Source organism: Homo sapiens, chromosome 9, assembly GCF_000001405.40.
Source record: "Homo sapiens chromosome 9, GRCh38.p14 Primary Assembly".
NCBI classification, from domain to species: domain Eukaryota; kingdom Metazoa; phylum Chordata; class Mammalia; order Primates; family Hominidae; genus Homo; species Homo sapiens.
In genome coordinates, this window is record NC_000009.12 from 118,568,645 (window position 1) to 118,584,902 (window position 16,258).

Below are 16,258 nucleotides of genomic sequence, written 5' to 3' on the forward strand. Positions count from 1 at the left end.
CTCCCAAAGTGCTGGGATTGCAGGCATGAGCCACCGCGCCTGGCCCCTAGAAATATTTTTTTTAAAAACATAATAGAGATCATATTACTTCTCTGCTCAAAACCTTCCAATAATTTCTGATTGCAGTCAGAGTAAGAACAGCTTATCCTTTAGAGTCCAGTCCCTGTCTTCATCTCATATCTCAACCTTTTCTACTCCCTCCTCCCACTCAGTCACAGTGACCTCTTGACTACTGTTTTTCAAACAGACCAACCCTTCCAACCCCAGAAATTGCCATTGCGCATTCCTCTGCCTGACATTCCTTTTTCCAGACTTTTATGACGCTCACTTCCTTGCTTCAGTCGTGTCTCTTTTTAAATGCTACTTCTCTGTAATGCAGCATTCATGGACCTCCAGGTCTAAACTTGCTAACTGCCATCCCCCTCCTAGTCCATCTCTTCATTCTGTTTTATAACTTTTTAATTGCAACTATCATGGCCTGTCATTTTCTTACATTTGTATTTATTTATTACCTTTCTCCACAACTAGAATGTAAGCTTCTTGAGGGCCTGAACTTTGATTTATTCATAGCTGTATTCTCACTACAATGCCCAATGCATATATAAAACTCAACAAGTAAATAAATTATGAATGCGTAAGTTAATGAGCCAAAGGAGACATAAAGTTTTGTGAGACTTTGCAATTTCACAATGCAGGGATGTGTGACGAAACAGACATTTCCCAGGGAAAAGTTTATGAAGCTTGATAACACCTTTTAAAACATATTTGTTGTCCTGAAATCCAGCTGTTGCCTAAGATTGTCTTGTGTCAGGTAAGTATTCTCTTGGGCACTTCAGGCATTGATTGACAACCAGTTTTTTTGTTACAAAGAATTACAAGCCATATATTCAGAATGTTCAGCGCAAGACTTGCTCATACCTATCTCTTCATGGAAAAGATATAAGCTTTGAAGTTCTAAACACTGGAATGGACTCCTGGCCTTGTACCTTAACATCTGCAAGATCTATAAAACTTCTATGAACTTCAGCATCTCTGATTTGTAAAGAAAGTGGAATACCTCTCACAAAGAATCACTGCTAGTATTTAAAATAAGGTACTTGAAGCATTGCAAATAGCTTCACTGTTATTATCCGTGATATACCTAAAGAGATAGGGATAATTTCTGTACAGATCACATTTTTCTCCTTCTAGAGCCAAGAGTATTTAGAATGTTGTTACTCTGTGTCAGGACTAATGGTCAATAGCTCTGACAACTGCATTTCTACGTGTCCTCTGGGGAGCTCCTTCAAAGTTTAATTGACCTCATTGTCAGGACATGTATCCTGATACTTGGACAACATTTTAATTTCTATGTTACATCTTCTAATTTCTATTTAAACCTCCATGGGGCAACATTAACAATCTTTCTGCTTCTCCTGTGTGTGTGTCCTTCAAATATTTATGTTGTTAGTATGTCCCTCCTTAGTTATGCCCCATCTATGTACACAGTACTTAATTCTTCTAATCTTTTCTCATAAATAAATCCCTCCAGTCATTTCATCATACTCCCTGATGTTCTTTGAATCTCTTCCAATTCCTTGACAGCTCTCTCATGTTGAGATGCCCAGAATTGTTTACAGTATTCTAGGTGCTATCTTATCAGCCTCATGCTGAGCGGCTCTCTCCCCTTGATGGTTCTTGACAGCCTGCCTCGCTGCCTGGGGTTCAAGGATGCTGTTTGGAGCCTCTAGTCACCATTTAACTTGTAATATCTTTCCTCACCATTCATTGCAGACATCCTTCAGCGTTCATTTCCATTCCAAACAACCACTATGTGATGGCAACTTTTCAGTCCTGGCAGGGGATGATTATGAACTTTGACCCTTCAGAGCTGAGTGTCAATCATTGTGAAAGGTTGTAGATGTTTTTGGAAGGGTTTGATTACAGCGTAGACATTAAAAGTCCTTGCTCTGTTATACAACTGCCTGGAATAGACTCTCAGCTCTGCAATGTTTTTGCTTTCTGACTGTGCCAAACTTACCAGTGCCTCAGCATCCTCTTCTGTACGATGAGAAAGAGCATCCATAAGATTGCTCTGCGAAATAAGTAACATGATTGATGTAAGTGTTTAAAATAATAACTTGGCATGTTGGAAGCACTCAATAAACACATGTTAGCTACCTCAACTAAAAAATTTAATTGAGGCCCAGCATCATGCCGCATGCCTATAATCCCAGCACTTTGGGGAGCCAAGGTAGGAGGATCATTTGAGCCCAGGAGTTCAAGACCAACCTGGGCAACATAGCCAGGCTCCATCTCTGCAAAAATATACAAAAATTAGCTGGGCACAGTGATATGTGCCTATAATCCCACCTACTCAGAAGGTAGTGTAGGAGGATCCCTTGAGCCTAGGGGTGGAGGCTACAGTGTGCTGTAATTATGCTGCTACATTCCCACCTGGGCAACAGAGCAAGACCCTATCTAAAAAAAAAATTAATTGAGATAAATGTACGTGAACTGCACATATTTTGAGTTTACAGTTTGTTGAGTTTTGGGAATCTATACCCAAAATAACCAACACTCAAATCGAGATATTTTCATATTTGAGGAAGTTGTCTCAGGCACCTTTGCTGTACATCTACCCTTCCCTTCAGGCAATCACTTAACTGAGTTCTTTCAGCATAGCCTGGTTTTGCCAGTTCCAGAAATTCATTTCAGCATAGCCAAATGCTATTTTTCATATCTGTCTTCTTTTACTCAATATGTTTTTGAAAATCAATAGTATTATTATGTGTATGAAAAATTATTTATATTTCTGAATAATATTCCATTGTATTAATAGTTTGCAATTACTTTATCCAATCCTCTGTTGGTAGAATTTGGATTGTTTCCAGCTTTCTACTATTATGAATAATGCTAATATGAATATTCTTATTCAAGATGTTTTTGTGGATGTGTGTTTTCATGTAATCACATTGGCGTGGAGTTACTGGGTTTTAGGGTAGGTGTAAATTTACCTTTATAAGAAACTTCTAAGAAGTTTTCAAAAGTAGTCATTGTGTTTTGTACTTCTACTAGCAATGTGCGAAAATTCCAGCTGTTCCACATCCTCATTAATGTTTGGTATTTAGAGACTTTTTAATATCAACCATTCTAGTGAATATAAAGTATAATTATGGATTTAATTTAATTTTGTGATGATAAATGGAGAAACTTTAATTGTGCTTATTGGCTATCTATGTATTTTCTTTTGAGGTATGATTGGGCAACAGTACCACTGAAAATTAGATTATTTATCTTTTTATTACATTTGATGGCTGATGACCATGTTTTCTGAATATACTCCTTTTCCTAGATATACACACACACTTATATATAGTGAGTATCTTCTTCAGGTCTTTGATTTGTCTTTTTATTTCCTTAACAGTATCTTTTGAAGAACGGAAATATTTATTTTTGATGAAGTTCAATTTACCTTTTTTCCCTCTTTTGTAGTGGGCTTTTCTTTTATCCTTTCTAAAAGAAATGCTTGTTTACCACAAGTTTTCAAGATTTTTTTCTTTCCTTAATGAAAATTTTATAGTTTTAGCTTTTTTCAATTAAGTTTATGATAAATATTAAAATAACTTTTATATATGGTGTGAGGTAGAAGTAAGCGTGTGTGTGTGTGTGTGTGTTTAAATCAGATCCAATTTTATAACACATCATTTGTTGAGAAAAAATTATTCTTACTTACTAAATTACCTGGCACCATTTCTTGAAATCAGTAGACAATATATATGTGGGTTTATTATAGGAATCTCTCTGGTCCATTATTCTACTTGCCTGTCCTTACACCAGTACTACATCATCTTGACTACTGTAGTTCATAGTCTTTACATTAAGAAATATGAGTCTCCAGCTATGTCCCTTTTTGAAATATTGTTTAGGTTATTCTGAGCTATTTGTAATCACTTATAGATCTTAGAATCTGCTTGTTAATTTCTACAAAAAACACTGCTGGGATTTTGATTGGAATTGCATTGAAAAAACATCAATTTGGGGGAAACTAATATCTTAATATATAGTCAGCTCTTGAACTAGGTATATCTCTCATTCACTCAGGTCTAGATTTCTCTCTGAAGTATTTGTTATGTGTAGTATTCGGTGTAGAGGTTTTCTACATTTTTTCATTAAATTTTTTACCTAAGTATTATGACTTTCGATCATAATTAATGACATTATTTTGTGGTAACTTTGTTTTCCACTTCTTGAAATTTTATGAAACAGTTGATTTTATATATTGGCCTTGTATCTAATGACTATGCTAAGATTACTTATTTGTGCTAGTTTGTATGTTGGGGTGTGTTTGAGCATTGTACATTCTTTATAGTTTTCTATGTAATTATACTTTCAGTAAACACAGTTTATTTTACTTCCTTCTTTCTGATCCTTATTTTCACTTCTTTTACTTGCCTTATCATACCAGTAGTACAATATTCAATAGAAGTGATGAAAGCATATTTATTTTACTTTTCTCAAAATCTTAAGAGAAAAATAGTCAATATATTACCATCAATTATGATGTTTTAATTTTTCACAGATTGTCTTTATAAATTTAAGAGAATGTTTTTATTCAATTTTGCTGATAGTTTTTACAAGCATTGAGCTTTTCAAATGATTTTCCTACCTTTACTATGTTTGTTTGTTTTATCTCTTTTATTCTGTGAATGCAGCAAATTGCATTGTTGAACTTTGAACATTAATCCAATCTTACATTACTGAGATAAAACATACTTGGTTATTATGAATATGGCTGAATTCTATTTGCTAATATTTTATTGAAGATGTTTGCATGTCTGTTCATGATAAATATTAGACTGCATTTTTTTTATAATGTCCTTGTTCCATTTTAGTGACAGGATTATGCTGGGCTCAGAAAATGAATTACAGAATACCCTTTCCTTTTGCCTTTTCTGAAAGAGGTTGAATAATATTGGTGTCAAGTACAATTAAATATTTGAAGGAATTTATCAGTGAAGTGATTTAAGCCTGGATTTTTCAGTATAGGGAGGTTTTTATTTAGATTTTTTATTTTTTATGTTTTTAATTCAACTTTTATAAAGTTGTGTTTTTCAAATAACTTGTCTCTTTTAGACGCTGTCATTAGCACACATTTCCTCATAATACTTCTTTATTGTTCTTTTTAATTTATATAAAATCTTTCATTTCCTGAAATTGGTAATTTATCTTTTCTCTCTTTATTTTAATAATCTATCAGTTCATTTTAATAATATTTTAAAAGAGCTAATTTTGACATTTTTGATTTTTCCCTATAGATAATCTGTGCTATATTAAATTCATTTTTAATTTCCTTTTTCTATTTATTTAACATTAATATTCTTATTCTAGCTACTCGTGTTGGAAACTTATATAATAAATGTTAAGGTTTTCTTGTTCCATAATATAGGAAATTAAAGCTATTCATTTCCCTTTGAGAACTGCTTTAGCTACGTTCTACAAATTTGGACATATTGTACTTTCAGTATTATCTGTTGTCAAATTTTTAAAATTTCCATCATAATTTCTTCTTTGACCTACATGTAATTTAGAAGCATCTTTAAAGATTTTCTAATATTTGAAAATTTTTTGAGATATTATTGTTATTGATTTATAACTTAGTTTCTTATTGTCAAGATATAGCCTTTTTGTGATTTCAGTTATTTTAATCTGTTGATACATATTTTATGGTCCAGCATGTGGCGTATCTTAGCGAATGTTTCATATGCACTTGAAACAAATTAGTATTGTGCAGATGTTGAATTAATTCTGGAAACACCTATTAAACTAGGCTGGGTAGATGTCTACTATATCTTTACTGAGAGATAATTTTTCTTATTTATTAACTTCTGAGAAAGGATTATTAAAAACTTAATCAAAAATTAAGATTTAATTTTGTTAATTTTGTCTTCATGTATTTTGAATTTCTGTTACTAGGTGCCTATGCATTCATGATTCTTTATCTTCTTGGTGAATTGATCCTTTCATCATTATAAAATGACTGTTTATAATAATACTCTGTCTTGAGGTCTATTTTGTATGTTATATAGCTATAACTGCTTTCACAGATTTAGTGGTTTCATAGCATATTGTTTTTTCATCCTTCACTTTCACCTTGTCTGTTTCTTTGTATTTAAAATTTCCTCTTATAATCAGCTTATAGCTGGTTCTTTCTTAAAAAAAGTAATTTCAACTTTTATTTTAGATTCAGGGGGTACATGTACAGGTTTGTTACATGGATGCCTTGTGTGATGCTGAGGATTGGGGTACAAATGATCTTTTCAACCAGGTAGTGAGCATAATACCCAATAGGTAGTTTTTCAGCCCTTGCCCCCCTTTCTCTGTGCCCCTCTAGTAGTCCCAGTGTCTGTTGTTTCCATTTTGATGTTCATGTCTGCACAATCTTTAGGGTCCACTTATAAGTGAGAATATGTGGTATGTAGCTCTCTGTTTCTGTGTTAATTCACATAGGCTAATGCCCTCCAGTTGCATATATCTTGCTACAAGGGACATGTTTTTGTTCTTTTTATGGCTGTTTAGTATTCCATGGTGCATATGTACCACATTTTACTTATCCATCTACCATTGATCAGCACCTCAGTTGATTCTATGTCTTTTCTATCATGAATAGTGCTGTGATGAGCATATGAGTGCATGTGGCTTTTTAGTAGAAGGTTTTATTTTCATTTGGCTACCCAGCAATAAGATTGCTGGGTTGAATGGTTTCTGTTTTAAGTTCTCCCAGAAATCTCCAAACTGCTTTCCCCAATTGCTGAACTAATTTACATTGACACCAACCGTGTACAAGCATTCCCTTTTCTCTGCAGCCTCATAATCATGTCATTTTTTGACTTTTAATAATAGTTATTCTGACTGGTGTTAGATGGCATCTCATTGTGGTTTGGATTTGCAGTTCTTTGATGATTAGTAATGTTGAACATTTTTTCATGTTTTTTGGCTGCTTGTATGTCTTCTTTTGAGAAATATTTGCTCATGTCTTTTGTCCACTTTTTAATGGGGTTATTTGTTTTTAGCTTGTTGAATTGATAAAATTCCTTATAGATTTTGGATATTAGACCTTTGTTGGATCCATAATAATTTGTGAATATTTTCTCCCATTCTGTATGTGGTCTGTTTACTCTGTTGGTAGTTTCTTCTGCTGTCCAGAACCTCTTATTTTAAGTAGGACTCACTTGGCAGATTTGATTTTGTTGCAATTGCTTTTGTAGACTTAGTCATAAGTTATTTTCCAAGGCCAATATCCAGAGTGGTATTTCCTAGGTATTCTTCTAGAATTCTTATAGTTTAAGGTCTTACATTTAAATCTTTAATTCATTTAGAGTTAATTTTTGTGTATGGTTAAAGGTAAGCGTCCAGTTCCATTTTTCTCCATATGGCTAGCCTGCTATCCTAGTGCCATTTATTGAATAGGGAGTCCTTTCCCCATTGCTTATTTTTGTCAACTTTTTTGTCAAAGATCAGATGGTTGTAGATGTGAGGCTTTATTTTTAGGATCTCTACTCTGTTTCATTGGTATACATATCTGTTTTGTATAAAAATCAGTAGCACTTCTATATACCAATAACATTCAAGCTGAGAGCCAAATTGAGAATGCAATTCAATTTACAATGGCCACACACAAAAAAGAAAATACCTAGGAATACATCTACCAAAGGAGGTGAAAGATCTCTACAAGGAAAACTACAAAATGCTGCTGAAAGAAATCGTAGATGACACAAAGAAATAGAAAAACATTCCATGCTCATGGATTGGAAGAATCAATATTGTTAAAATGGCCATACTGCTCAGAGCAATCTACACATTCAAAGCTATTCCTATCAAACTACTGACATTTTTTTTACAGAATTTGAAAAAAAAAAAACTATTTTTAAATTCTATATGGAATCAAAAAAGAGCCTGAATAGACAAAATAATCTTAAGCAAAAAGAACTAAGCCAGAGGCATCATATTTCTCCACTCCAAACTAAGCTATAAGGCTACAGTAACAAAAACAACATAATACTAGTACAAAAACAGACACATGGATTTATAGTTGCTTCTTGACTTTATTATCTAGTCTGATAATCTAGTCAGATAATCTCTGAATCTCTGCCTGTTTACAGTTAAAAGGAGTGTTTACTCCATTTACATTTAGTGTAATTATTGATATTGCTCATAATATTTGTGTTTGGTTTTTTATTCTTTATCTTTCTTTTTATTTTCTTCCAATTACTGTGCTCCTATTCTTCATTATCTTTTCCTTCTTTCTTTCTTTTTCTTTTTTCATTTGGATTGAGTATTAGCTATTTTTCTATGCTTGCTTGTTTTTTATTTTCCCAAATAGGTGCTTTAGGGATTAAGATATTCACCCTTTAGTTTTCAGTTTTATTTTAATCAATATCAGAATATTTTATATATAATGTAAGGACCATATAACGGAATAATTGGACCTAAATTTTCTCTCAGCCTTTGTACTGTTATTGCCATATATTTTACTTCTACATATACGTCCTGCTATATGATTTTTTTCTTTTTTCTTTAAACATTCAAGTGACCTTTAAAGATTTTTTTAAAATGAAAGATAAAACATTCTCTATATTTACCCACATGTTTCACATGACCAGTGTTCTCATTCCTTCTTGATGATTCAGATTCCAAGAATGTATTATTTCCTTTTCAGCATAAGAAATTTCTTTAGCTTTACTTGTAGTGTGGATTGCTTGATGATACATTTTCTCAGATTTTGTTTATCTGAAATTATATTTTCTTTAACTCAACATTTTTACTAAAGAGAAAATATTTGGTTGAAAGTTGTGGGGCATTTTGTTTGCTGGTTTTGTTCTGTTTTTCTTTGTTTCAGTAATTTAAAACATTTTTTTGACTTTATTATGTCTGTCTCTTTCTTAATCATTGTTTCTCTTTATGTAAAGTTTCTTCTTTTTTTGCCTCTTTTACTATTTTTAAGTTTCTCTAGTTTTAAGCAGTTTCAACATGATGTGGTTAGGTCTAGTTTTCTCACTGTTTATCGCTTTTGGAATTCACTGAGATTCTTAGATATGTAAATTACTGTTTTTTGATGAACTCTGGAAAGTATTTGGCTAATATCTCTGTTAATATATAATTTTTATTCCATTTTCTCTCTCTTCTCTTTATGGGTCTCCAATTACAAATATGTTATGGTTTGATAATGACACATAGTTTATTGAGGCTTTGCTAATTTCTTTCTCTCCCCTGATTCACTTATATTCACCTTTCTTATGGAATGTGTATTTGACTTAACATGTATCTCATAATATGCTCTTTTAAAAAATTTATTATACTCATTTTTTGTGGATTGTTAAATTTATAATTATTTTTCAATTTTTTCTGCCAATTCTTGATAACATGTAATTATGATTTTATTCATTTTTTCATGATTATGACCCATATTTTCCTATTTCTTCACATGTCTAGTAAATTTCTTTAAACATTGTGATACTGTGAATGACACCAAGAAATTCTGTATTCTGCTATTTCCTTTGGAAGAATGTTGATTTTATGTTCTGGGGCATTTAAATTGCTAACATACTACCTTACATTTGTGGAGGCTTTTATTGATTTGTTTATTTATTTTAGATCAGGTCTAGTTCCATTTTGGTCTCAGTCCTAGGGTAAACCATTAATCTTGGATGTAGATTGTACTTCTAATATGTGGTCTTTCTAGGCGTCAATGAAAAACTCAATGCATTTGCCAAGGAAGGCACTCTACCTATGTGGGACTGCACTGTAATTTCTGTCTCCCTGCAATGGGCAGCCACTGAAATCTCTGCTCTACCATTATGGCATTGTACCAGTGCTTCCACTCTGGGCTTGTTGGATTCTCACCCACAAGTGCATAGTTCAGGTGTAAGTTAAAATTTGAAGAACTTTTTCCTCTTTAACTTGGTTTGGGGCTCATTTCTTGGATTTCCTCCTGGATGTCTAGTCACTGTAGCATTCTCAAACTCCAACTTATGACTCATTAGCCAATAAGACTGCAGCTTTCTGTTTGAGCTCTGGTTGCTACATGTTATGTAGACTAGTCAGTGTCCTCAGTAGTAAAAGCATGTCATTTTGGGTAGCACTTAATGCATTTGACCTTTGTCTTCATGGGTCAAATATCTTCCAAGTTTGCCTATTTTTATTTATTTTCCATGTCTGTAAGTAGTTTTTAAAAATGTATTTCGCCTGGAGTTTGCAATTATTATCAGCAGGGAGATTGGAAAATCCAAGCTACTCATTATTACAGGAAGTCATAAATAGTTATTTTATTTTTAGAAAATATTTTTAAAGAAATGACTATGTTCCAGTCTTTGGTCTATGTTCTGGAAACACATCCGAAAACTGTAGACTAGCACAGAGTGGTGGGAATGGTGAAAGTTAGATTCTAGACTTATTTTGAAGGTAGTTGTTAAAAGATTTATAACAGATAGATTGGATATGGGGGCCTAAGATAAGAGACAGAGCTTTAGTTTTGTACATGTTCATTTGAGATGTCTACCAGACTTCTAAATGTAGAGGAGTAGACATTTGCATAAACATGTATAGCTTTCAGAGGAATGTTTTAACTTGAGATATTAACATGGTAACTGTCAGTGTATAGGTGGAATGCAAAGTTCTTGGGTGGAATAAGCTCACCAAGAGAATTAATGTAGATAGAGAAGACCATAGACTACAGAGTGGGGAACTAGTGTTAAGAGACTGAAGAGAATGTGAAGCAAGCAATGAAGGAAAATGAACATCCATAAAACAGGGTATCCTGGAGACCAAATAAAGAAAAGAAGATGAAGTGCCACACTGTGTCAAACAGTGCTTATAGTTTAATAAAAGTCAAAGAGTGAGAAGTGGCAATTGGATTTAGCAATGTGGAGGTCACTAATGACCTCAGTCGGAAACATTTTTTGTGAACATGATGGAGAAAAAGAAATCTTTGTTGGGTATGTTTAAGAGAAAAGAGAAAAATTAGGGGTGGTGACTACATATAGATCTTTATAGGGTTGTTTTCTCTAATGAGGAGAATATTAATGACACAATAATCTGGGGAAGTATGATTAAGAGAATGTTAATTTATCAAAGCCACATCTATACAGCATTTCTCCTTCCATCTATATTCATGTCTGCACACACAAATATACCCACTCTCATGTTTAAACATGTTTACATGTATAAATTGGAGAAAAAATCTATGCTAAATGAGATAATCTAGTAAGGAGAGGATGATGATGATGAGGGAAAGAAAGGGGAGGAATGTTGTTTCTACATCAATTACCTTGAATAGGTAAGAAGAGATGAAGCCTGCTCCTCAAATAACATTTTTTGCCATACAAAGAAGTTCTGATTTTTCTTTCATAACAACAGAAGTAAAGGGAGGGAATATGGAACAGAAGCAGGTATGTAGGTACACATAGTGACAGGTACTGTGGAAATTCTTATCTAATTGCTTAGAATTTTATCTGCAGTGCTGGATACAAAATCAAAAGCTGCATATGAAGATGAAAAAGCAGGTTCTGAAGTTGTGAAAAGAGAATAAAAAACATATCATTGGGCATCTGAGTGTGTAGAAGAGTGCATGGGATAGAAAAATATAGGAGGTTTACATGACATCATCAGGAACTTATCTGAGACATGTTAACATGGGCTTAAAATGCATCATTTTGGCATGAATGTTTGGTTTCAGCCATGTTTAGCTGCTTCAGAATAGAAAAAATGTACACAATGAATTATAGCTTATCAGACTTAGTGCTTAGCCATACAATAAAAGGATAAAAGAGTGTGAAAGTGAGAATAATGGTAATCCATGGAATTTAGTCTCCTAGAGAAGATTTTGAGAAGGTACAGAAGGATGGAAATATAGTTAAGTCATTGTATCATTAAATTTTAAGTTGAACTATGGTTGAAGAATTGGTAGAATCTGAGTACTAGTGAGAGTGAACAGAAAATTGGCAGACGGTAGCAATAAAATGGGTGATTTTGAGATTATGGAAGGTTTACAATTAGTGGTGCTAATGCAACTAGAATATGGCCAATACCAGAGGAAAGGAGTTTGAGACCTGACATGCCAAGTTGCCAGAAGAATCGCTTACTGTGTATTGAAATCATCTAGAATCAATAAAGGTGTAGATTAAAAAGAAGATTGAAAGCCGAGGGTGGCAGTTTAAGAAGGTGGATGACAGGGTGTTGATCTAAAAAATACATTAAGGAGAAGGAAGAACACTTATCCCAACTCTAACCCAAGACATACACTGGGATGAAATTTGGGTACAGATAGTTTTTATGTGAAGTGATCTCAAAAGCACAAGGAAGTGAGTGGGAAATGTCAGATAGGAAAAGAGAAAAGCCTCAGATTCTGCATCAATAAATGAAATACTGCTATTCAGTCTTGGGGATCCCTTAAAGAACTATGTAGAATTTGCCTGACAATTATTGCACCAAGAGGTGAGAAAACTCGGGCATTTATCCACTGAGTCTCATCTATCATTTGGTTGAAGGTTAGACCTTTTCTTATGGATAGAGCAAACCCTCAGACAGCATGGCAGTGAGATGCAGTCACTCAAGATGGAAAGCGGTCAGAATCCCAGAAAATGTCCACCAAAGCAGTGATTAAAGCCAGATTTGGGCTGATGGCTTTAATCTGGAAATATTCTGGATCAGACAGCAGAATTTTTTAAAAAAATCTCACAACTTACACCAAACTGATCTATTCCTACCACATGTTGGATCCACTCTGTTGACTTGATGCTCCAAGATAAAGGTCATCCACAATCTCTTAAAAAGACCTAAAATGTGAGGATAAATGGAATAAACTGCTGTTTCAGATGCTTCCTTCCCAAGACCAAAATTGATCTTCATCAATTTCCTTTTCTGTCACTCAATATGATTTTCTCTTTTATCTTTATATTGACCAATACAGTGATCCTAAAACTTATCCACAGAGGGTTATAGCCCTGGTTAGTTTACACTAGTCATGCTATTATCCCCTTACTGCTGGAATGGACCAACAGGCATGAAAGCACTAAAAGAAACCCTAGCGAATCATCCATGTTTCAAACATGTTCCTCTCTGCCCCCATTTCAGAGGACCAAACCACATCCTCATGATAACTGGGACAGTTACCCCGATCTGTATAGGGCTTTTACTAAATTGATAAGGAATGCATTCATGGTGGCTCACTGTCTGTGTTGAGAAACTTGATTAATTGTGGGCTGTCCTTTGTAGGACTTGGCTCATATAGGAGACTTGTGGTTGAGGCTACTATTTGGTGAAGTTTATAGTAATATACTAACATCTGCCATTATTCATCTGGGTTTTGCGAAGGCCATTTCACTAAATTAAATGAATATGGCATAGGCCCACTTTATATTCTTTAAGTCTTCTAGAGTAGCATCGATTTCTGAAATTTCAGCTGGGATCTTGAATTACTTCTGACTTACTTTCTTGGCCAGGGGTGGCAGATAATTTCAGGGGCTTCTACTTGGCCTTTTAGAGCATAATAATTTTTGCTCCCTACTTCGGCTGCTAAGTATATCTATCCCAATTATAAACTCAAGGATGGGGAAATTACCATAAGGTGAGTTTGTATACCCAATGGAGTCATTGTGATATAGCCTGGGACCATGACTCCACTTATTACCTACCCTATACCTACCATATACCATGATTTTAAAAGAGGACATTTTGAATCCCTTGGTATCACTATCAATTCGTAACACAGATTCTAAATATCTAGAAATATCTGAATATTTTCATTCACTCCAAAATACAGTTACTCTAGTGTACTCTAGTGTAACAGGTAGTGATGGCCTGTTAAATGTTTAACAATCAGATTTTTGACAAAAAAAATAAAACTTTGATTTATAGCATTTGCTAATTCCCATGGTATAAAAAGTTCCACCCCTGTGGAACTTTTATAAAGTTCTAATTAAATCTACCAACATCATGTCATTAGACATAAAGTTAGGAGGAGATGGGCACAATTTGCTCTTAATGCTGGTACAAGCTGGCTCCAGCACAACACTGATTATATGTTCCTTTGCAGAAGAAATGGGGAATTATATTTATTGCATACATTTGCAGAGTATCATAGGCTTCTTTATCAAGGTCATTCTATCTTCCTTTCTACTGTCAGCCTCAGACCGAAAACTTAATGTGACCATGATTTTTTCACTGCAGCAGCTGACATAGCTTTGTGATGATCAGCTCTTAACATTTTTTTGTTAGAAAATCAAGAAATATGTTTGTGAGCTTCCCATTTATATCAGTCCTAGAGACACCAGGATTTACTGGCCATTACCACAAATCTCTGGAGGTTCAAGGCCTTCTGAATGTTAACTTGACCTTACTTCCAATAATCTTTGTCTGGTGGTGCTACAACTTGGTCTTATATTTTCTAAAAGTCTACCACCTATTGACACAATGGATTCTACTTCCATAGCAGTATCCCTAATCAAAAATAGCCTACAGAATATGCCAACCAAAAAATAAAAAATAAAATAGAATTGAGCTTAACAATACTGTTATCATATCACCACTATAGCATTTTATTTATTTGTTTCTTAAAGGGAGTGCCTTCGGCTCTCTTTGGGAACACAGTCACTCAGTGGCTTTTCTATTCTCACCTAATATATTCTGGCTAATATGTTCACTGACATGAGCTTTCTGACTTCTTTCTCAATACTTTGCCTATGTAGTTCCTACATATCCATGTTATTTTCCATAAGCTACCAGCATGCCTAAGCATCAGTGATCCGTCCTTGCATCGTATTGACTGATTCTGTCTTGTCTAAGATATTAATTCCTCATCATGGAAAAATACCCATATCAATAAACTCAACTCTCCCTTATCCAGCCTTCTAACCCACATTCAAGATTTACCTTCACATTTTCCCTACATCTTCTCAGTAGATATTAGCCGGGTCCTACTGTTTCTTTTTTTGCTGAATAATCTATTTCCTCCAATATCTCCTCATATGGGCTATCTTAAGATATGATTCTAGTTACTAGTAGAGACATAATGAGAGAAGATGATGAAGCTTTTTGAAGAAAAGTGCTATCTTGGCAGAGATCTGTTTTAGGTTATGTCTACGCATGGTCTTAGACAATGAGAATCTACTCTTCTTTGGCAAGGGCAAAGAGGCTGTTTTCCAAACTGGAAAGTTCAGAAATTTAGAAATTTCACTTTCTTAGGGGCATTTACCCAGCTATATGATTTCTAAGTCTTTGAGTTTTACTCTTTACGGGGGCACTTAATTAGCATAAGAGACCTAATGGGACTAAATAATCCGTCTCTTCTGTAGTTACTTACAGTAGCTGTATATCTAATATTGGACCTGATTTTCATCATGGTCTGCCATCTGCCTGCTGGAGATAAGCAATTTCATGTTAGTTTCCTCCCTCATTACTTTCTTTAAGGAGCATTTTGACTTTTGAGAAAAGCATCAGCCCAGCTTCTCTGTTGATAATGAATTGGTCTCTTCGGAATTAAAAAATACTGTCATGGAGGTCTTTCCCTATTTCATAGGACACCCTGATTCGATCGTGATTAAACTAAGCCAGCAGAGGTTTTTTTTTTTTTTTTTGGCCTTTAGGGCATTTACCAAAATTCTTCCAATTTTAGGACCTTATAATTGCTATTGTCCCCATATCTTTTATGTGCCAGTCATTTCCCTTCCACTTGTATTTCACTTCAATTCACCACATGTGAAAGTCAGTAATTGTGTTGCTTCAACATGACATGAGTTATCACCACCCCAAAGAGCAGCCATCAGCCCCTTGTTTTTATCTGGCTAGTGAATGTTCCTATTCCAGAATATCATCCTGAGGCTTACTGTTTAGACCCATCTCTGTCCCCCAAAGCAAATGCCAAGACAGGCTTAGGAGCAGGTAGTTCTTCAATACCTGAAAGTACTGAAAGGAGGGATGGGGATGTGAGATAGAAAAAGAGAAATAAACTATTCATCAATGAATACTACCCCTGCGGGCTACTGAATTCTTCTGGGTAACTTTGCTGAATGTGCTGCACAGTTGTCTTACCAAGGGGTGGAGAAACTGGGGTATTCATCAAACAACTCTCATCCTTCATTGGTTAAGGTTTACCACTGGATGCATCAATGTCCTGACATTTCCACGATGCCCTGGCTGCAGGCTGAGAAAACTCCTGTGGCTCTGGATAAAGGCAGTCAGGAAACCAGAGAGATGCAGCATTTGAGGGAAGAAACAGCATCCT